At 44.8% G+C, this 22,912-nt stretch overlaps 1 long non-coding RNA gene across 2 annotated transcripts in view; it reads right to left on the minus strand.

The window, feature by feature from the left end:
* Window positions 1-3,641: 3,641 nt before the first annotated feature.
* The window catches only part of LOC102723944 (uncharacterized), a 102,009-nt gene continuing 82,738 nt past the window's right edge, over window positions 3,642-22,912 (minus strand). The window contains exons 4-7 of one of the 2 annotated variants that reach the window (XR_427861.4): window positions 14,503-14,677; window positions 9,188-9,465; window positions 4,524-4,596; window positions 3,642-3,929 (exon numbers count right to left, since the gene is read on the minus strand). This is a non-coding gene — a long non-coding RNA (uncharacterized LOC102723944). Of the gene's footprint in view, window positions 3,930-4,523; window positions 4,597-8,501; window positions 9,466-14,502; window positions 14,678-22,912 lie in introns of those variants that run through there. The other variant, XR_926383.3, reaches the window with a different exon arrangement.

Raw genomic sequence — 22,912 nt, forward strand, 5'->3', positions numbered from 1 at the left:
GCCACGCCTAACTCCAAGGGGACAGGGCACACCCCTCCATGAACTTGAAGGAAGAAGAGGCGAAAGGAATGAGCAAGAACACGGTCTTTGGCATCTTGAGGAGCTGCAGGTCAGTCCCACTGCAGCAGGACAGTCCTAGAGAGGCAGCAGGCAGTCTGGCACCTTTGCATGGCTCCAGACCTCGGATCCCCTCACAGCCCACCACACCAAGGTAGGTGCTAGTGGGTCCCTGGGTTTGGATGGCGGATCATTCACTTGCTTGCAACCAAGTACAGTTTTTGATTTTAGCTCTGAATGAGCTTTGTGAAGGTGGAACTCATTCCAACAGCGGGAACTGAAAGGACCACAGATGAATTATATTGTTTACCCTTCAACATAGACCACCCACCTCTTAATTACCCTGGTGCTTGGGTGACCTATTAAATAACTTAGACAGAAAGCATCACGCACAATACCCTCAACATGAAAAGCCCGAACAGTGGAAGCCAACATAAACACACACTCTGTGCATCCTCTGCCATGGCCATCAGTTAGCAGAATGGAACCCACAGTTTGTCTTAATGAGAATCACTCCACCAAGGGTTCTCGTCCTGGATCCTAGTGTCTTTCTTGTGGCATCATGTGGTTTTAGCATCTACTTCCTCTCCACTCCCAGGACCGTATGGTAATACCGACCTAAAAGGAAGATGCTGAGGCAAAACTTACATAAGTAGGGAGTTTCTTTGGATCAGGGTTTCAAGTTGCAAGCTGGGAGCACAGATGCCAGTTGTCCTGAGTATGCCCTCCAATTAGCAACGGTTACAAGGAGGCTTGAAAGGGAAAGAAGGGGTAGTTCCCAAATTGTTTACCAAGCAGATACATTAAAATAACATCAGCTATTGGTTGTCTATGCATTGTTCGTTGTGTCACAAAAATCTAGGAACTTAATGAGTGAGGCAGCTTGTCAGTAACAAAATTACCTGAAGTAATTGTCACTGGACTGAGTGGCTCATGCCTGCAATCCCAGCACTTCGGGAAGTTGAAGCAGGAGGATTCCATGAGCTCAGGAGTTTGAGACTCCCCCATCTCTACAAAAAATAAAAAAATTAGCCAGGTGCAGTGGCACGCACCTGTGGCCCCAGCTACTCAGGGGTGTGAGCAGGAGAATTGCAGGTTGAGGCTGCAGTGAGCCGTGATTGAGCCACTGCACTCCAGCCTGGGTGACAGAACTAGACCCTGTCTCAAAAGAATAAAACAAAAACACTAGCCCCTGGGCATGGGTGCAGGGGTAGGGATTAGCTAAACCCATACTCTTTTCTCTCTGGGTCTGTGTGCCTCACAGAGCTCAGACTTCTCTGAGCTATTGTTCTTTTCCCAGTAATTAATGAGGCATCTTAGTAGCTTTAATTCATCCTTCCTAGGCCACCCCAGGTGCTCCGCGGCTGAGGAGGACAGCACTTCACATTCCACTGCTGCTCCCCTTCTTCCAGGGGTGGCCACCTGTCCTCCCTTAATCTACTCAGAAGGTTTCTCCATTTAGAAAGAGTAACTGTGACTGTTGTAATGAATAAATCTCAACATTTCCACGGCTTCATATGAAACAAATTTGATCCTCATTTACGTAAATCCCAAATGGATATTTCTGACTATCGTCAACAGCAGGCTCCAAACCACAGAGTTATGCAGAACCTAGGCTAACAGGGGACCCACCATCTTCAGCAATGTTTCCAAGTTTGTTCTGGACACCCACAGCCCACCCAGCAAGGATAGGAAGAAAGAGAACAGAGAAGGTGCACCTACAATCACCTAATGGGTTCTTCCTGCCCACAGCACCGACAAAAATCAGCACACTGAGACAACAGCGTTGCAAAAGAGAAAGACTAATTGACTGGAGGCTGTCCCACACAGGAGAACAGGACTTAACACTGAAATTAGCCTTCCTGTAGGCTCAGAGGTTAGGGTTTTTATGGACAATTTGATGAGCAGGGGGCTAGGGAATGGGTGTTGCTAATTGGTGGGGGATGAAATAACAGGTGTGTGAAAAATGGTCCTTCAGCATTGAGTCTGCACCAGCTGAGTCACAAGTCTGGGTGGGGCCAGTCTGAAAAACATCTCAAAAAAGCCCCTAGGTTCTACAATAGTGATGTTATCTGTAAATGGGAAGGTCACAATTCTTGTGACCTCTAGCCACATTTTCTATAATCCCAAAGCAGTAAAAGATGACAGAAAATATGTCTATATCTTAGCTGAGTTCAGGCCCCTCTCATAATCCTATTCTTGCTTACAAAGTTTTTGATGGTGAGCAAGGAGGGAGTTAGCTTCTGGGAAGGACTATTATCATCTTTACTTTATTATCATTTAAGTTAAACTATAAACTAAATTCCTCCCACCGTTAGCCTGGCCTATGCCCAGGAATGACCAAAGACAGCTTGTTACCCACCATGAGCTCGTGGGCTCTCAATGAGATAGAAATTGACATAAGGGTGAAAGAGTTTTCCAGACAAGGTTTCATTGGAGCTTATGCCTGGGCATAAGGGAGGCAGCATGGGAGGGAGAGAAAGAGAGAAAGAGAACTCCCTGACTGACTCCCTCAAAAGAGCTGGTGGGACTTTCTTATTAGGCAAAGCATGGGAATTGAAATGAGGGACAGGGTGCACAGGCTGGGCTGGGCGAAGCATGTGAAGGGTAGGGTATGCAGGCCAGCATTATTTGGTTGTAATGGTTCTCTTGATTAATAGTAGGTCATCTGGTGGTCTGGCCAACAGCCACAAGGCTACGAATCAATTGTTCAGCATTCCTTCCCAAGGTGGGACACTCCACAACCTTGGTTATCTCCTAAGGCTGGTTTCTGGAATTCTTTAAGTAAAAGGCATGGTTAAACACAGTGTCAGTGAGGTAGTGGTGTGGGTTGTGTGATCAGTGGGAATGCTCCTGTGGGGATGAAACTCCACCTCTACTGTGTCTCACTTGGAGGTCAGAAGCGAAATGGAGTCAACTATGCCAGATTTATCTTACCGTCATAATTTTGCAAAGGCAGTTACACACCCTGTCTTCAGCAGTCACCTCAGGCTACTGTCACAAAGTACCACAGACTGGGGGGCTCAAATAGCAGAAGTCTGTTGCCTCACATTCTGGAGGCTGAAGTCCAGATCGAGGTGTGGCTGGGTGGGTTTCTCCTGAGGCCTCTCTCCTTGGCTTGCACATGGCTGCCTTCTCCCTTGTGTTCTCATGAGGGTTTTCCTATCTGTGTGTCCTGATTTCCTCTTTTTATAAGGACATCAGTCATATTGGATGATGAAGAAAACCAGAATATTTTATCTGAAAATATACTCCTCGGACATATTTGGAGGTGCCTGTCAGAGGCCCTGCAGACATAGGTAGCCCCGCGATGCTGCCTTTTGTGGGGAGAGTCACCTCTATAGAGAAGCCGCTTTGACGAAGCCAGACTTTCTCTGAGGCCCTTCCTTGGGAAGGACCTAGAAAAGATTACATGAGAGTCTGACACGGTGAAGGTCAGAGAGAAACATTTGCCATCCCTTCTCTCTGAGGGCTGCTAATGTGAGGTTTCATCTACACCACAAGACCAACCTTGCTGGCCACACCCCCTCTTCTCTACCTCCCGTAACCCGTCTTGGCGCTAGAACCTGACTCACCACCATCCCTGGTTTTGCATATGCTGTTAGCCTTTATTCTTTTTGGAAGCTCAGGATGGTATATAAGCTCTGTACACCATTGAGGGGTTGGGGTAACCACTCTGTGATATTCCCTCCACGCACCTTAACACATTCGTATGCCATTTCTCCTATTAATCTGCTTTTTGTCGGTTGATGTTTCAGTGAAACTTCAGAGGGTGAAGGGAGAGTTATCTCTTGGCCCCCACAGTTTTGGCACTCTCAGCAGGACTCCAAAGCTCTTCTCTTCTGGAAGCCACAGTCAAGGGAACCCAGGACCTAACAGGCAGGCAGAAGGGGAAGAATTTACCAGCCAGCTTTGGCCTCTCTGTGTGGAATCTGGTTGAGCAGATGGTAAAAATCACTCTCTGAAAAGTTTTGGTTAACAGGAGCAAAGGATTTATGACTAGTCTTGGGTGTAGCAACTCTATAGTACTTTTTAGTGTGAATGTTCATATTGCTTGATCCCTTTTCCTCCCTGAGTCTATTTCTTTGTCTTTATCTTTCTGTGTTGTTGCATTAAGAAGGGTACCACAGGATAGCACACGGGCCTAAGCCCATCGTTGGAGCCGGCCCTGCAGGCTGGTCAGTTTTACCGTTCTAATCAGACCTGTATCTATTTAGACAAAACTTCACTGTGGGTCCCTAAATTAAGGTTGGATGAGGTTCCCTGTCATCTTGCATTATGTCCCTACGAGCTTGACTTGTGACCAAGTGAGAGCTCTCTCTTGGTCTCCACCATCCAGGGGCTGAGATTTTTGTGTCACACCAGGTGGGCGATCTGAAAATGGCTGAGAATCTGAGATACATAAGATTTAAAGCAGCACACTTTGTGCTCCAATCATGTCGGGCTCTCAGGGGGAGATGTCTTACCAAGAAGTCCCATCCATAAGGGGATTTTGTCATCTCAACCCTTGCGACCTGGTCATCCTGGGAAAGTCCAATCCTAAAATGGTGTACACAGTGTCAGAGATTAATGAGTCTGTGACCAGTGGCCCCCCCATAAATTTGTGGGCTATTGGAGGCATCATACACACAAACATTATCCTGAACCATCTGTGGCAACCACAGGCTTTGGCTACCTTAGCTTATTCCTGGGAGTGGACTTTTTGAGAATCATTAGAATTGCCTCTTCTGTGCCCTCTCCAGGAAACACCTCTTGCACATATGCTAAAAATTTAACCTAAACCTGGAAAATTACTTCTCGGGCTTCCAATGAAGAGTCTATTGGATTGAGTTGCTGTTGGAATAAGTACACCATTGAAAATTCTAATTGTTAGGGGTAAAAAGATGGATCCTTAAAATTGGACTTCTAAATTTAAAAAAAAAAGGATTTTAGAGATCTCTCCTTCTAAACAATTGCCTTATTTTTAAGATTAAATTAAAAGACAAATAACAGTGTCATGGCTAGCCTTAGAAATTCCCTTGATAACATTAAAGAGCAAAAATATATGACCTTGGCTGGACCCAAAGGCTCATGCCCTAATCCTGGCATTTTGAGGCCAAGGTGGGAGGATCACTTGAGCCCAGGAGTTCAAGACCAGCCTGGGCAACATGGCAAGACCCTCCCTCTCTATTAAAAAAAATTAACAAATAAAAATGACCTAAAGCAGTTTTTATTTATTATATATATTTTTTGAGACAGAGTCTTGCTCTGTCGCCCAGGCTAGAGTACAGTGGTGTGATCTCGGCTCACTGTAACCTCTGCCTCCCGTGTTCAAGCAATTCTCCTGGGCTCAGCCTCCCGAGTAGCTGGGACTACAGGCATGCACCACCACGCTCAGCTAATTTTTGTACTTTTAGTACAGACGGGGTTTCACCATGGTGGCCAGGCTGGTCTCGAACTCCTGACCTCAGGCGATCCACCCACCTTGGCCTCCCAAAGTGCTGGGATTACAGGCATGAGCCACTGTGCCCAGCCTAAAGCATTTTTTAAATCCTTGTACACTGGAAGTACCTGCTTTGAAAACCTTGTGGAATTCACAATGAAAGCTACTCTACCTGCAGGTTGGCAGTTAAAATTTCATGCTTTCTCGGTCACAGCCTGGATTCAATTCCAAGTCAGGGAACCAGTCCCAACTAAAATATGATAATAAAAGATTTGAAAAAAAAAGTTTTTAAGAGCTCTCTGGTCAGAAGTCAGATTAATTAAAAGCTGATGTTCAAGCTATGTATACATAAAGGCCTGCCTTTTCTCTTTTAGATCCTGTTTCTGGGAACTTTTTTCAGTTGACTGACACCCCTTTTTAAAGTATATTTAGTCCTTCTGTTTGCTTCCTTCCTTGATGGTATAACTTTTGCGGGGAAAAATGTAATATTTTCATTGGCCTTTTGGAAAACTTTAAGTATCCTCAAATTGGCTTCTGTAGAAATTGTTCTTTCATTTCCTTCCACTTCTGCCTCTCCTTCCTTTTGCCATCATCTTCAGCACCACATGCAGTGTTCTAGAGAGGACTTCCAATGACTCTGCCACCCCCTGAGGAACACAGAAAAAGGCTCTTCTTGATCCTTTTATGCACTATTCTGTCTTCCTTGGGGAGTGTATAAAGTCATAGGCAGGGTCCGTGTTCCTCCCAGGGCTAAAGCCCTGCTCTCCTTTGTACGGCATCACCAGGTCTCTTTGGCCTGGATACCAGAGAGTACTTTGTACTGTAAGGCCAAGAAGCACCTGGCCTTTGTATGTGTGATGGTTGGAAGGTCACTGTCAAGGGCTGCAGCCTTGGAGGTGGCTGACAGTGTTTGCAGTGAATGATTATTACTGCAGGAGTTATTCGTTTTTTTGTGCATTTATATAAGAAAGGTGTGGTTTGAAAGGCTATGGAGCACTCACCATGAAGGAATAAGACTCCCATAGGGGATGAGCTGACCACAGAGTGGGCTGATGGTCATTTGGTAGCCCTTGCAGCCAGGTGTACTGTGGAAGCATTGTGCAACACAGTCCTGTGGCATTTCCCACTTGGGGTTGTGTCCGGAATTGGTGTGTTCTTGGTCTCACTGACTTCAAGAATGAAGCCACGGACCCTCGCGGTGAGTGTTACAGTTCTTAAAGGCAGCCTGTCTGGAGTTCATTCCTTCTGATATTCGGATGTGTTCGGAGTCTTTTCCTTCTGGTGGGTTCGTGGTCTCATTGGCTTCAGTAGTGAAGCTGTAGACCTTTGCGCTGTTACAGCTCATAAAGGCAGTGTGTACCCAAAGAGTGAGCAGCAGCAAGATTTATTGCAAAGAGCAAAAGAACAAACTTTCCACAGTATGAAAGGGGACCCAAGCGGGTTGCCACTGCTGGCTCCCGCAGCCTCCTTTTATTGTCTTATCTGGCCCCACCCACATCCTGCTGATTGGTCCATTTTACAGAGAGCCCAGTGGTCTGTTTTGACAGGGTGCTGATTGGTGCGTTTACAATCCCTGAGCTAGACACAAAGGTTCTCCACGTCCCCACCAGAGTAGCTAAATACAGAGTGTCCATTGGTGCATTCACAAACCCTGAGCTAGACACAGGGTGCTGATTGGTGTGTTTACAAACCTTGAGCTAGATACAGAGTGCCGATTGGTGTATTTACAATCCCTTAGCTAGACATAAAGGTTCTGCAAGTCCCCACCAGTCAGGAGCCCAACTGGCTTCACCCAGTGGATCCCCTACCGGGGCTGCAGGTGGAGCTGCCTGCCAGTCCCGCGCCGTGCGCCCGCACTCTTCAGCCCTTGGGTGGTCGATGGGACTGGGCGCCGTAGAGCAGGGGGTGGCGCTCGTCGGGGAGGCTCGGGCCGCACAGGAGTCCACGGAGGGGTTGGGAGACTCAGGCATGGCGGGCTGCAGTTACTGAGCCCTGTCCCGCGGGGAGGCAGCTAAGGCCCGGAGAGAAATCGAGTGCAGCGCCAGTGGGCTGGCACTGCTGGGGGACCCAGCACACCCTCTGCAGCTGCTGGCCCAGGTGCTAAGCCCCTCATTGCCCGGGGCCTGCAGGGCCGGCCTGATGCTCCGAGTGCGGGGCCCGCCAAGCCCACGCCCACCCTGAACTCGCGCTGGCCCGCAAGCACCACGCGCAGCCGGGTTCCGCTGGCGCCTCTCCCTCCACACCTCCCCGCAAGCTGAGGGAGCCGGCTCTGGCCTTGACCAGCCCAGAAAGGGGCTCCCACAGTGCAGTGGTGGGCTGAAGGGCTCCTCAAGTGCCGCCAAAGTGGGAGCCCAGGCAGAGGAGGCGCCGAGAGCGAGTGAGGGCTGTGAGGACTGCCAGTATGCTGTCACCTCTCAGGGGGACTCAAGATTCAGTGTAAAAGCAGGATCCTTGATATGTAAAGATCTAGAGGCTCTGCCTTTCAGCTGTGCCTGGTTTTCACATATTTAAATATTAGACCCTGAAAACTGCAAATGCTTTGTTGGATCTGTTAATGAGTTCAGTTGCCCAGTTGGAAAACAGAGATTATACTTATTAAAATTAGTCTCATTATAAAATCCTGTGGGGGCCATGGCATGGCCAGGTGTGGTGGTTTACACCTGTAATTGCAGCACTTTGGAAGGCCAAGATGGGAGGATTGCTTGAGCCCAGCAATTTGAGACCAGCTCGGGCAATATAGCAGGGGCCCATCTCTATAAAAAGTATGTATATTTATATGTTATATTTACAATATAAAAAATATATATTTATATATTATATTTATAATACAAAAATATATTTAAATATATAAATATTTTTATATATTATATATCACATATAATATATGCAATATCATATATGATATATAATATATATCACATATTATTTATATTATATTATAAATATATAAAATATTATAAATATATTAGAATATATTTTATATTTTATATATAAATATATATATATTTTTAAATTAGCCAGGTTGATGACGTGTGCCTATAGTAGCAGCTACTCAGGAGGTTCAGGCAAAGGGATTGCTTGAACCCAGGTCGAGACTTCAGTGAGCCATGATTGCGCCATTGCGCTCCAGCCTCAGCGACAGAGTGAGACCCTGCCTCCAAAAACAAAATGAAAAACATCCTGTGGTGGATTTCTATAACTTTTTGTTACCTTGAAATCCATTTTTAATCTTGCTCTAACACACTCAAACTCCTCCTTGAGAAAGCTAAAATTCTCTCTGTGCTTTGAGATGTAAATTTGCTACCCTGCTTTCTCTAAAACTCTGTAAGGTAAGGACTTCAACCATGTAGGACAGATACATTTTAAATTGTTCCATTTACAGAGACACAATTTAATACAACTGTCCTTTTAAACTAGTGAATTTTACCAGTCTCATGGCTAAAATTTTAAAAATAAAAGCATGTAGTCTTTATTTTTTTGTGTTCATTTGTATTTTTATGTATGCGTGCATATGTCTGTGTTTGAACATTGTCTACATGGTACTGAATAGACTTATAAATAAAGGAGTACTCATAAATTAAGTAAATAAGCCCAAATGCTTTTCAGGTCAATGGGACTTTAGTCATGTTGGGTAAATAAAGCTAGTTTTTAAAATCATTAGTAAAATAAAATTGAAATTTCTTCGGAATTTAATTTAGACAGTTTTACCTGGTTCTATTAGCAGACAGGTTTATATTGTCTCTGATAGATGTTTTCATGTCATAAAACTGTTGCCTTTGTGATATTTTTTGATACCTGCTTAATTTTTTCATGAGCCTGTGACCTGGGCTTTGAACCTTTTGATGCTGGCGTCTAGATAAGTGGCCATGGTGAGGCCTGGAGACCCCGTCCTCCCCAGCCCAGCCGTGTCTCTTGGCCTTGCTAGAAGGGATCAGATCCTCCAGGCACTGTTTTCACAGCTCCGTCCTTTGTCCAGGGCTCTGCATCTGATACATAACAATTAAAATGGATTACTGCCTAGGTTTTTTACTGAAAATTAGAGTTACCAAGAGATAACATTATAATTAATATATGTAATTAAAACTACTAGATACAAGACAGACACTTCTCATGCAAAATGCACAGGAAAAGTAGGAGGTGTTTTGGTAAGGAAGGCTATAAAGAAGGCATGAGAATGTAGTTTTTGTTAAAAGAAAAGCAATTTTGTCAGTGTAAGGGTAATTTAAGTGCTGTTTTAAATTGAAGGGGAAAAAAGAACGATAAAACTGAATAGACAGAGAAACTTGAAGAGCAAAAGAGAATGGAAAAAATTATCAAAGCTTCTAAAAGGCTTATGGAAATCTTATCTTGTGTGGTTAAGACTGAGATTGGATGAATCTGTTTATAAGGTTTTATTAAAATTAGCTTTAGTGTCAATACACTGATGCAAAGATAGAATTTGGTTTTGTGTTTGAACAAGATGTTCATATAGTATTAACAAAAAGTAGTAAAAGATTTTTGCTTACCTTTTGAGTAAATGACAAAAAAAAGAAGAGGGTTTGCCTCATGCTGTCTTTATTAGGTCTTTTGATTGTTTTAAAAATTGAGTTTCTCCTGTCTATCAAAGAGCTAAGTTTTTGTTTTTTAATTTTTTTTTTAGGTTCAGGGGTACATGTGCAGGTTTGTTATATAGCTAAATTGTGTGTTACGTGTTGTGGGGGTTTGGTGTACAAATAATTTTATCACACAGGTGATAAGCACAATACCCAGTAGGTGGTTTTTCTGCCCTCACCCTCCACCCTCAAGCAGGCCCTGGTGTCTGTTATTCCTTTCTTTGTGTCCATACACACTCACTGTTTAGCTCCCACTTATAAATGAGAACATGCAGTGTCTAGTTTTCTGTCCCTGTGTTAGTTTGCTTAGGATAATGGCCTCCAGCTCAAGTTTTTGCTTTTTGAAATAGTTTAAATATAACTAAAAGAACCTGGAAGTCCAACAGAGACATATTAGACTTATTTGATACGTTAAAATCCTACGGGAAGGATTGTCAAACAAGAATGGTCTTTAACTTTCTTTGAGTTATATTTGTATAAGCGTATTATTAATAGGTGTCTCAAAATCGTACGAGATTCCTAAAATTCTGATGTCTTTGTCTATGTTATCAATCATGTTTATTATGTTAAACTGTTGTATGCCACAGAAATAACCAAATTTTCTTGTCAATTGTGTCTTTAACCATAGCCATTCTAATTCTTTTGTCATCCACAGACAATGATTTACTTTAATTCTTTTCAAAAAGTAGTTTACAATGTGCTACAGTACAAAATTTGCTTCTTCTTGAAGGAAATGCATGGAAAGGACCCTGACAAGTACTCTTAAATGCAGGTTACTAATAAATTTGGAGATAAAACCACTGGATTAGGTAAAACTTTCCTAGACTGTAATTAAAAAGTTGATGCATTCATGAGGATTGCTAACCCAACATCAAGTAGAACAAAAGTTAATTACATGGAACTGAACTGATAGAGTACCAAAATGCTTTTTTATGACTTTTTGTTTGAAATAGTGCTGATTCTCTTTATGTTTTGTTTTCCAGAGTCAAGAAAACTTTTTTTTTTTCTTTTGAGCTATTTATGGCTTACAGCAATTGGGTAAAGTATACTTTTGTAAGAAAAATTCAAACGTACCTTTCTCTCTAACTGATTTCTCCAGAATTCAGAAACTATTTGAAAGTATTCTTATTTTATGGCAACATAGTTATTTGCATAAGTTTAATAAGAATCTGTTTTCTTCTGTAACAGGACACAGTTGTAATGCTAATTATTTTATCAGGGCTTTGACTGGAATGGCATTTTTTTTGTTGTTTTTGAGATGGAGTCTCTCTCTGCCGTCCAGGCTTGAGTGCAGTGGTACGATCTCGGCTCACTGCAACCTCTGCCTCCTGGGTTCAAGTGATTCCCCTGCCTCAGCCTCCCGAGTAGCTGGGATTACAGGCATCTGCCACCACTCACAGCTAAGTTTTGTATTTTTAGTAGAGACAGGGTTTCACCATGTTGGCCAAGCTGGTCTTGAACTCCTGACCTCAATGATCTGCCTGCCTCAGCTTCCAAAAGTGCTGGGATTATAGGCATGAGCCATCACACCCAGCCAGCATATTTTTAAATATAACCAAACTGCTGTGAGGAATTGAAGTTGACTTCCTAGAGCTGATAAAAAGCCCCTTGGAAAGACCAGCCTTGTCTATGTGGTTTCCTTACATGATTTCTGACCTGTGGTAAGTAAAGAATGTCACTTTCTGACAGACCCAGGAACCTCAAGAAATATCGGGAACCTCAAGAAGAGAGGAATTCACTGACTCATTCAGGTATTACACAGCCCGATGAAGAAATTTTGACTTGGCTTTCTAGCCTCAAGAGGCTTTTGAAAGTCTAACTGGAGATTCCTTATGAAAATATTTCAGCAAAGCCAATTTAAAAGGAGCCTATGTGGCCAATTACTATTTGTGCTGCACTTTATGCAAATAAACAGGCCAAGTACAATAATACTAAAACTTATTTTGCAAATAAATTGGTCATAATATTCTTGGTATAAAGGTGGGACTGGAGAGAGACAAATTATGATTCAGAAGTGTTAAAGCAAACTAAATATGGCCTGAGAAGGACTCTGTACTTCTATATTTGAGTCCTTGTGGATGAACTGCAACTTAACTTCATAGGTAGACAAGACTGAAAACCTGTCCTAGGAGTCTGTGCCTGTAATAATCGCTGAGTCTTGGACAATCCCAGCAGCCATATTTCAACTAGTCATACACTGCTGAGTGTTCAAACTGTGTTCAAATGAGGCAAACACTGAGCTGTAACCAATTCAGCTGTTCCTATATCTCACTTCTGAATTCTGTATGTCACTTTACTTTTTTTGTCTGTAAATTTGTTCTGACCATGAGGCACCCCTTGAAATCTCTCTGAATGTGCTGTGATTCTGGGAGCTGCCCAGTTCTCAAATTGTTCATCGTTCGATTAAAACTCCTTTGAATTTAACTCAGCTGAAGTTTTTCTTTTAACAGAAGAAAGCTATAGTATACCTGTTATTAGATTATAGCCTTGTCCATTGTTTTTGAGTTTTTATTTTTAACCTACAATTTGGACTAAATCCTGAATCCTTTCCTGGCTATAAGCCTCCAAACTAACATTTTCAAAGTTTTCTCCAATTTTTTCTGACTTGGAATCACTAGAAAATAAAACTATGCTTTTCTTAAAGCCCTGCAAACTGAAGTTAGACAACTTAATATAAACTTCGGGAGAAATTCCTACAGTCACTCATCTATAAACAGCCTTTGTTCCTGTGGATGCAGGGACTACTCAGAGAGTCGACTAGAACACACGATTCAAACTGCAATCCAGAAAAATCTGTCAGATTGCCACTGAAATCTGAATATGCTTCAGGTTCTAAGAAAACTGGTCTACTAGACTATCCCAGACATAAACCTTTGTTTTCCTTCTGTTTCCATAGAGGTGCCTCTTACTAGAGACCTGTTTACCTGCATCCTATGTAGAGGCCTAGCTCTGAGAGCTCGCCTGCAAGGCCGCCTCCTGAAATGAGACACAGCTATTTAACTGAATTGATCTATTCTCAGGACTAAGAGAATGGTTCAGGCAGGGCGCGGTGGCTCACACCTCTAATTCCAGCACTTTGGGAGGCCAAGGCGGGCAGATCATCTGAGGTCAGGAGTTTGAGACCAGCCTGGCTAACATGGTGAAACTCCGTTTCTACTAAAAATACAAAAATTAGCCGGGTGTGGTGACACATGCCTGTAATCCCAGCTACTCAGGAGGCTGAGGCAGGAAAATTGCTTGAACCCAGGAGGTGGAGGTTGCAGTGAACCAAGATGGTGCCATTGCACCTCTGGCTTGGGCAACAAGAGCGAAACTCCATCTCAAAAAAAAAGAGAATGGTTCAAGAAGGTATGGGATGGTATAAAGTTGTTCCTTTCTGCGTATCCCAATGTGTTCTTCCCTTCCTTTGCCTATCTCTTATCTAACAACCTGTAACCCAAAGCTATCAACTTGGCTTTGATGTGAAACTTTCTGAAAGTACAGTTTCAAAATGGGGACTGAAGGAAACCAAAATATTTCACCCAAAAAAAATACTTCTTTGACATAGTTTGAGGTGGCTGTCAGAGGGCCTACAGACACAAGTCGCCCTGCAACACTGTCTTGTGGAGAGACTTGTGTCTGTAGAGAACCTGCATCCGTGCAGCCAGGCTTTCTCTGAGGCCGTCCCTTGCCCTGATCCAGGAAAGATGAACTGAGAGGCTGCTACCTTTAAAGGTCTGAAAGGAACATTTGCCACCTATTCTCTCTAAGGGATGCTACCCTTGACGCTCCATCTACATGACAAGACCACTGCCGGGCCTCTGCTCCTCTCCCAAAACCTGTCTTGCCACCGTAACCTCATTCACCACCGTACCTGTTTTTGGTTATGCTCTGAGGCCCTATTCTTTCTGTAACCTCAAGATGGTAAACAAATCCCAGCTGCTCAGGAGGCTGAGGCACAAGAATCACTTGAACCTGGGAGGCAGAGATTGCAGTAAGCTGAGATTGTGCCACTGCACTCCAGCCTGGGCGACAGAGTGATACCCTGTCTCAAAAAAAAAAAAAAGAAAAAGAAAAGATGGCATACAAGCTCCGTACACCATCAGGGGCTTGGGGTAACCACTCTGTGATTTTCCCTCTATGTATGTTAATACGTTTGTATGCCATTTCTTCTATTAATCTGCCTTTTGTGAGTTGATTTTCAGAGGGTGAAGGAACAGCTTTTCTTGGACCTTACAATTAGGACCCACCCTGATGACATCATTGAATCTTAATTACTTTTTTAAAGACCCTATCTTCAAATATGACAATAGTGACATTCTGAGATACAGGGGCTTAAGATGTCAACATATACATTTGGGGGCGGGGACATAACTTAGCCCATAACACACCCTGAATCACATTAGATCATGAAGTGGTACCCACTGGTCAAAGCCACTCACGCAGCCCCACCTGGATGCAAGGGCCGCTGGGCGGGTAGGTGCCCCATGGCTGGTAGCAGCTTCCAGCAAACACTCTCCACTGTGCAGCCAGCCAGCTCTGTCCTAGCAGGAATGCGTTCCCTTGGGCCTCTTCCTCCTGTCTCAGCTGTCACATGCAGATTGTCCACAGCAGGGACTTGAAAGCCCTAGAGGATATGCACAGAATTGCTAAATAAAATAAGTCAGCACGCTGCACACATTTCTTTACTTACATTGTGTGATGAAGACCAGACACAAGTTTCCAGTTTCTTCCATTGCATGCTTGATGCGGAATCGCCTCTTTTAAAGTTTCAATTATGCACGGAGGTAGCAATTACCATCCTGGGTGTCATCATCAAAAAGAAGAGGGCCGGGCGCGGTGGCTCACGCCTGTCATCCCAGCACTTTGGGAGACCGAGATGGGCGGATCACGAGGTCAGGAGATCAAGACCATCCTGGCTAACATGGTGGAACCCCATCTCTACTAAAAATACAAAAAAATAGCCGGGCGTGGTGGCGGGCGCCTGTAGTCCCAGCTACTCGGGAGGCTGAGGCAGGAGAATGGTGTGAACCTGGGAGGCGAAGCTTGCAGTGAGCCGAGATCACGCCACTGAAGTTCAGCCTGGGAGACAGCAAGACTCCGTCTCAAAAAAAAAAAAAAAAGAGTAAACAGTGCGCCTGAAAGAAACTTAGGAGAGTTCGAGATGCTGACAAAGACCATCCATCCACTAACCCCACACAATAAGCAGGGGAGGAAGCTTCCAAATGGCTGCCATAATCCCAACCCTTATATTCCAGCCCACAAAAATGTCATCCTTCCCAGAACTCCGACTTTCCAGATGTCCATGAAACTCTAGCTGATGTCAGGATCAGCTATGGAATCCCATGATGAGCCACAGCTTAAATGTCAGCCACACAGGCTCAGATAGGCACACGCTTCCATTCTAGCTAATGGTTAATAAATGGAGGACAAGTCTTGACATATTCACTAGTGCAAGTTGAAGTGGCTGGCGCCAACATTCTATTTACCCTGAAGCTTAGTTTACTAGATGCCACTGCCTGTTCTGTGAACCTCATGGTCACACGTGAATTGTAACACAGAACAGTCTCAGCAGGAAAAGAGTTTCAATTTAAAAATATGATCCTCTGTCAACATGGGGCACTCCCTAATTAATTTCTGGTAGCTGCCTTATCTCAAACTTTAGGACCTTGTTCCAGTGCCTTCTTTCTGGGCAAGATGGCCAGATAGTGCAGGGGCCAAGAAAAAACTCCCCCTTCATCCTCTGAAGGTTTGCTGAAAAATCAACTGACAAAAGGCAGACTAAAGGAAACAAGGTATATACCAAAGTATTGCCATGCACGGGGGTCATACAAAATGTAAGCATGCAAAGAAGTGGCCAGAGGCATCTAGAGGTTACAGAAAGAAAAAGGGCTTGGATGGCAGCAAGACAGGTTATGGGAGGGGGAGAAGAGAAGGCCTGGCTAGCAAAGGTGGCCTGCAAAGCAAAATAAATAAATAATAAATAAACAGGCTGGGCATGGGGGCTCACCCCTGTAATCCCAGCACTTTGGGAGGCCAAGGTGGGTGGATCATCTGAGGTCAGGAGTTCGAGACCAGCCTGGCCAACATGGTGAAACCCTGTCCTTACTAAAACTACAAAAATTAGCTGGGCTTGGTGGTGGGCGCCACAGGTACCACCAGCTACTTGGGAAGCTGAGGCAGGAGAATCGCTTGAACTCAGGAGACAGAGACTCCAGTGAGCCAAGATCTGAATGACAGAGTGAGAATCTGTCTCAAAAATAAAGAAGGAAATAAAATTTCACAGGTAGCAGCCGTCAGAGAGAATAGAGGTAAATGTCCCTTTTGGACCTTTAAGATGGCAGAGTCTTGGTTAATCTTTCCTAGATCTGGACAAGGGAGGGGTGCAGAGGAAGCCTGGCTGTGTCCATGCAGATTCTCCACAGAGACTAATGTCCCCACAAGACAGCGTTGCAAGGTGGCATCTGTGTGCAGGCTCTCTGAACAGCCATCTCAAAATATGTCAAAGACGTGTAACTATGGGCAAAATATTTTGATTTCCTTAAAGGGTGAGTGGAACTTTTCCATGTGCCTCACGTGGCTTCTGTCCATTTCAGAGGACAAAGGTATATTAAAACAAAACTAAGGCACTGTTTTAAAAAACCTGAAAAATGTCTGTCCACGCCTTCCCCTTGCTTATAAACAGATTAAAAACAAATATCTATACACATGGAGATTTTGTTTCTTTTTATGGAACTAGACTCATTGTATGCACATGTCAATGATAAAAACAAACTGGACGATATGTAAAGAGGCTTATTCTGAGCTAATATGAGTGACCAAGGGCTGAGTACAGTCTCAAGAGAGCCTGAGAACATGTGCCAAGGTGGTCAGGTTACAGCTGGGCGTTATACATTTTAGGGAGACAGAAGTTATAGGCAAAGACATAAATCAATACATGTAAGGTGTACCTTGGTTTGGCCAGCAAAGGTGAAATGTCCTCCAGTGGAGTGGGGAGGTGGTGTTACAGGTCATAGGTGGATTCAAAGATTTTCTGATTGGTAATTGGTTGAAAGAGTTAAGCTTTGTCTAAAGAATTGAAGTAAATGCTTGGGTTAAGATAAGGAGGGTTTGGTTGGGCACGATGTCTCAGGCCTGTAATCCTAGCACTTTGGGAGGCCAAGGTGGTTGGATCACTTGAGCCCAGGAGTTCGAGACCAGCCTGGGCAACAGGGCGAAACCCTGTCTCTACTAAAAACAAAAAAATTAGCCAGGTGTGGTGGTGCATGCCTATAGTCCCAGCTACTCTGGAGACTGAGGTGGGATGCTCACTTTAGCCCGGGAGACAGAGGTTGCAGTGAGCCGAGATTGTGCCACTGCATTCCAGCCTGGGCAACAGAGTGAGACCCTGTCTCAAAAAAAAAAAAAGATAAGGAGGATTGTGGAAGCCAAGGTTCTTGCTATGTAAATGAAGGCTCCAGGTAGCAGCCTTAGAGAGAATATAGTATGTTTCTTTTCAGACCTTAAAGCTCAGACTCAATTAATCTCTTAGATCTGGGAAAGACCTAGAAAGGGACGAGAATTATCTACAGATACAAATTTTCCCCACAAAAGACAGCTTTACAGGTCCATTTCAAAATATGTCAAGGAAATATATTTTGAGATAATTTGTTTTTTTTTTAAGACGGAGTTTCATTCTTGTTGCCCAGGCTGGAGTGCAATGGTGCGGTCTCGGCTCACTGCAACCTCCATCTCCTGGGTTCAAGCGATTCTCCTGCCTCAGCCTCCCAAGTAGCTGGGATTACAGGCACCTGCCACCATGCCCGGCTAATTTTTGTATTTTTAGTAGAGACAGGGTTTTATCATGTTGGCCGGACTGGTCTCAAACTCCTAACCTCAGTTGATCTGCCCATCTTGGCCTCCCAAGGTGCTGGGATTACAGGCATGAGCCACCACTCCCAGCCGAGGTAAAATATTTTGATTGTCTTCAGGGTCTGCCATCTGTCACATGATACCATACCAGAGTCAGGTTGGAATTCGGTAGCTTATTGCCAAAAGCTCTGTTCTGTCAGCTTTAGGATCTCTATTTTAATCCTATTTTTTAATCCTATTTTAATGCTGGTCAGTTCTGCCTAAACTGCAAAACGGAGGGGTGTCCGACCTTCCTTCCCATCATGGCCTATATTTCACTTTTTCACGTTTCTATGGGGTCCTCTTGGCCAAGGGTTGGGGGGGGGAGTCTGTCCAGTTGGTTGGGGGTCTTAGGATTTTATTTTTGGCTTACACATATTAATTGGCAACACGCCTTTTCGACCTAACATATTTCACTTAATGCACCTCCTACCAATGGCGAGACTGGGCTCCTTTATCTGACTTCTTCTTGCAGATAGATGTAAAACCAAAGAAAATGACCAAAGCGAGTCTCAATCAATAAAGGTTTGTTTTGCCAAGGTTCACAATATGGCCTGGAAAATGGAGCACAGAATTACAGGAACGTCTGTGATCCATGCTTCCTCCAAAGATGGTTTGGGGACTTCAGTATTTAAAGGCAAAGAGGGGGAAGTAGGGAAAAGAGAAATGAAAGGGGAGTGTAGAAGGGTCGAGCAGCTGCATTCTTTCCAGGCTTTGATCAGCTTTCAGTCAATCCACGTTTTGCATGTGAGAGGGAGGGGGCCGAGGATCAGTCAGTTGCTCTCAGTGAATCTGCATTTTCACATTAGATACACAGAGAGTAGAGGGGGCAGTCGCACACGCATTTGTCTCAGGTGAGCAGATGAGTGACTTGTAGTCCTGCCTTCCTTCCCTACCTGTGAAGATAAGCTGCTGATTTACACTGTCAGGGTGAAATTCAACAGAACCGTTTTAAGGTAAAGATCTTGGGGTTCACAAGGAATTTCCTTGTGAGTAAATTGTGTGGGAGGCCCCCTGGGGAGCCTCTTTTTTTTTTTTTTTTTTGAGATGGAGTTTCATTCTTGTTACCCAGGCTGGAGTGCAGTGGTGCGATCTCGGCTCATTGCAACCTCCGCCTCCCAGGTTCAAGAGATTCTCCTCCCTCAGCCTCTCAAGTAGCTGGGATTACAGGCAGACGCCATGACGCCCAGCTAATTTTTGTATTTTTAGTAGAGATGGGGTTTCCCCATGTTGGCCAGGCTGGTGTCGAACTCCTAAACTCAGGTGATCCACCCACCTCGGCCTCCCAAAGTGCTGGGATTACAGGCATGAGCCACTGACCCTGGGGAGCCTTTTTGGCCTTTTATCCTTGTAGCCATCTACTTAGGAACAAAAAACAAGCAGTCTTTGCATGATTCAGTTCCCAAGCTTGACTTTTCCCTTTGGCTTAGTGAGTTTGGGGTCTCAAGATCCTATTTTCCTTTCACAGACAGGTGAAAGTTTATAGAAATGGAGTCACATCGTATAAATCAAGCTTTGCAGCTGACATGGCCTTCTTTTCCTTGCTGGCTTGCCCCCACCTGTTTCTTCTCTATGTCACCTCCCCCTGTCTCCACCACAGGTAACACCTGGCATGGGTCCTTCAGGGTTTCACCCACGCCCCTGTAACTATCGGGATCTATGAACTGTACAACGTATAGGCATACCAAAGCTTTTCTGTGTTTCTTTTATAAATTTTGGGTCCCAGTATTCACACTTCCCCACGCCTTCCTTTCTACACTCATAGACTCCTCGTGGAAATCCCACCAGGTGAGTTGGCAGGGCAGCTGTCACTCATTCCTTTTAGTGGCTGCATAAAACTCCATAGAGTAGACCTATCCCCATTTATTCAACCATCCTCAGCCAATGGACATTTACTTTGCTTACATCTTTTCCACAGAGACCAATAGAACAATGCTACTAAATATTCTTTAGGAAGTTAATTCTTGGAAATTTTATAACATATGCAAATACACATTCATTGGAACAAATAAAGTGGAGATTTCACCACGCTAGGTGGACATTTTTCTTATTTCAGAGCTGTGGCATATCCCCCCAAGGATTCCCTCAGGTACTGTAAGAGCTGGGCCCCAGCATGACACTCCACCCAACCGTCCGTGTCACACCCCGAAGCCTCACGTCCTTCCTGTCTCTCTCTTTTAAACATCTCCTGGTTTGCTCAGCTCTAAGCTTCCTCCTTTACTCCTCTGATCCCAAGGATTTGCTTTATGAATTCTAAAAAAAGTATTTATTTCCAAAAAGCATCTGGAGCAGTTATTTTGGAAAGCAATTGTGGAACTCTGGGAAAGTGTGTGTTTTTTACAAACCAGACCCTTGAGGAAGGGGTAGGGGCTTTGTCAGAATCCTTGAGGGATGAGGGGGCAAAGACAGCATGTACTGATCGTGAAATCACTCTTGTTTGAAACTGACTATCCAAGAACAACTAAAGAAAGTCACAATTAAAGTTCTGCTCCTTGGTTCCTCTGTCTCCTGGCCATCCCAGAAAAGGGAACTGGCTTCAGGAGAGCCCTTCTTTCCCCTGGGGGCTGTACTTACCTTAATGCACAGGCCTTCCCCGCCCATCTGTAATGAGCTTCAGCTGGAAATCACCACGAGAAACCACAGATCACTTCACAGAGGGGTTTTTCTATGTGATTCTATTCCTGGAACTATTAACACCTTTCACTTGGCTATGGGCCCTTCTCTTCTGAATCCACCTTAAACATTGCTGATGAGACAGCTCCTTTCTGATTCCACTGAAACCAGCAAATGTACCCCTCGTAAGTCTTCATTGGTTCCTATTTGCTGAGTGAAATTCCTACTGACACCAACATACTCTATCTCATCTCCAAAATTAGTTGTTTTCTAAGTGGAAACAATCAAAATGAGCATCAAGATGAAAGGCATAACTACAGAAGTAAATGGCAGCTGCGGAGGCTTTATAAAGAGGTGCAAGAGCCTTGTGTGATTGCTGTGGGGGGAAAGGGAGAGAGACTACCGTGTTATTTCTATGCATGGCTGCCCTAAATGTGGGAAGAAACTTTGAAATGTTTGAAAAACAGAAAAAAGTTATGTGGAGTGGGCAAGGGACAGAATAATACAATATGAGCTGAAGATGGCAAGCAGGTCAGTCTCCTTTCTGATTATCGCAAAATCAACCAATTAGTGGCCCAAACACAGGAATGAGAGTCCAGCAGGTCCACGGCCCCACTCATACCCCAGGGAGGAGCCATCAGGGTGAGTGCTCAGGGCCCCAGCTCTCAGATCTCACAGGCCCTCTTAGAACTCTGCCCAGGACAAGGAAGGATTGACAACTTTGGAAAATGCTGACCTAATGCACCGACGATACCTAATAACACTCTACTGTTCCTTAAGCATCTCCTCTGTGTCCAGTACCTTACCAGGCACCTAACATGGCCTAGAGATGATCCGTTGCACAACCCCATGAGGTAGGTCCTGTGACTCGACCTGTAACCAAGTAGCTTAGCTCCAAAACGCATTTTAAAACATCCTTTTCTTCTCTCTAGTTTTAGCCTTGAAATATACTTTGAAACTCTTTGTTTCCCTAACTTCCCACTGGACCCTCCTTGCACTGTGATAGTTAACCTAATTATGTGCTTGCTTAGAAATTCCAGGGCCTAATCTTGAAATGAACCAGGCATGGAGACCCAGCTGCAGAACCCTCCCATCTAGAGGTGACCTCATGGTGGTTAGTCTACAACTCAGCCACTGTCGAGATGGCTCCAGCCCACACTCCAGGTGGACCACAACTCAAGATAGCCATCGAAACAAGACACATAGATCCCATATCCAGCGCCATTCCCACAGGCTTCTCATACCAAGTTTCCCTTCTTAAACCCTTTACTGAGCCAAAACAATATGAAATGCTCTTTCAGAGGCACGGGCCTGGCCTTTTCTTGACTGCTAGCACCCAAATAAAGTTGCTTTTTTTAAACTGCACCTTGCTTCTTGTGTGGCGAGCAGGCGAACTTGAATTGGTCACAATCCCAGTTTACAACATTGAGATTCAGAGGAGCTAATGACTCCCCAAGGTCAGGCTGCTATGGCAGCACCAGGGCTCAAGTTCAGAACCATCATCCACCAAAGATCAGGCGTTACCTGAGTCTAGAGGGTTGTGACAGGATTAGAGGAAGAAATTACATGTCAGGCTCTCTAGAGAATACCCTCATTCCCTGCAGATAACACTCCACATCCTCCAAGCTCAAACCTCAACTCGGCATGGCCCCTTGCCCTTCAGGACTGTGCCTCTCAGCACTTCCTCTCCTGACACACCTTTGGGGTTCACCTCTCCCCTGGCGCAGGCCCTCCCTCTCACACGTGGGCCACTGTATCAGCCCTAAGTGGGTCTCCCTGGCCGCCAGGTCCTTCTGAAACCCAACTGGGCAAGAGTCTTCTCTGAACACCATGTGCCCCCCTTTTCCCTTTGCCCCTCCCCAGACCAGTGCCGCTTCTTCCTGCCGGCTCCTTGGGGCTGTGTTTATGCCTCAGTCACCCCACAGCCTCTGGCCAGCTACTGTTCAGAACCTGAATAGACGAACTATCAGCTGGCCAGACCAACAGAGTGGAGCTGAGTCGCTCTGAAGGCACTAGAGGTGTGTCTGTGTGGGCTGGCTGAAGCCCCCAGGGCAGACAGGACTCCTGATCTGGGACCCCCACACCTTGTCTTCCCTTTTGTGCCTCCATCCTGGGGTCACAGCAAGGATGCCTCCTGCCCTCTGTGCCTCTCTGTCACAGAGCCCCTCCATTTGAACCAGCTGAGGGGGGAGTTTGCTTTTTGTGACCTAAATACCTTAAGACACACATGCCAGGCCTCCTGACATGAGACCTTGTTCTTAATTGCTACTTCAAAACTAAACCTCATTCGCCAGGGGCTGGGAGGAGTGGGGTATGGGGAGTTGGTGTTTAATGGGTTCAGAGCTTCAGTTAGGGAAGA

The sequence above is a fragment of the Homo sapiens genome, chromosome 6, assembly GCF_000001405.40.
Source record: "Homo sapiens chromosome 6, GRCh38.p14 Primary Assembly".
NCBI classification, from domain to species: Eukaryota; Metazoa; Chordata; class Mammalia; order Primates; family Hominidae; genus Homo; species Homo sapiens.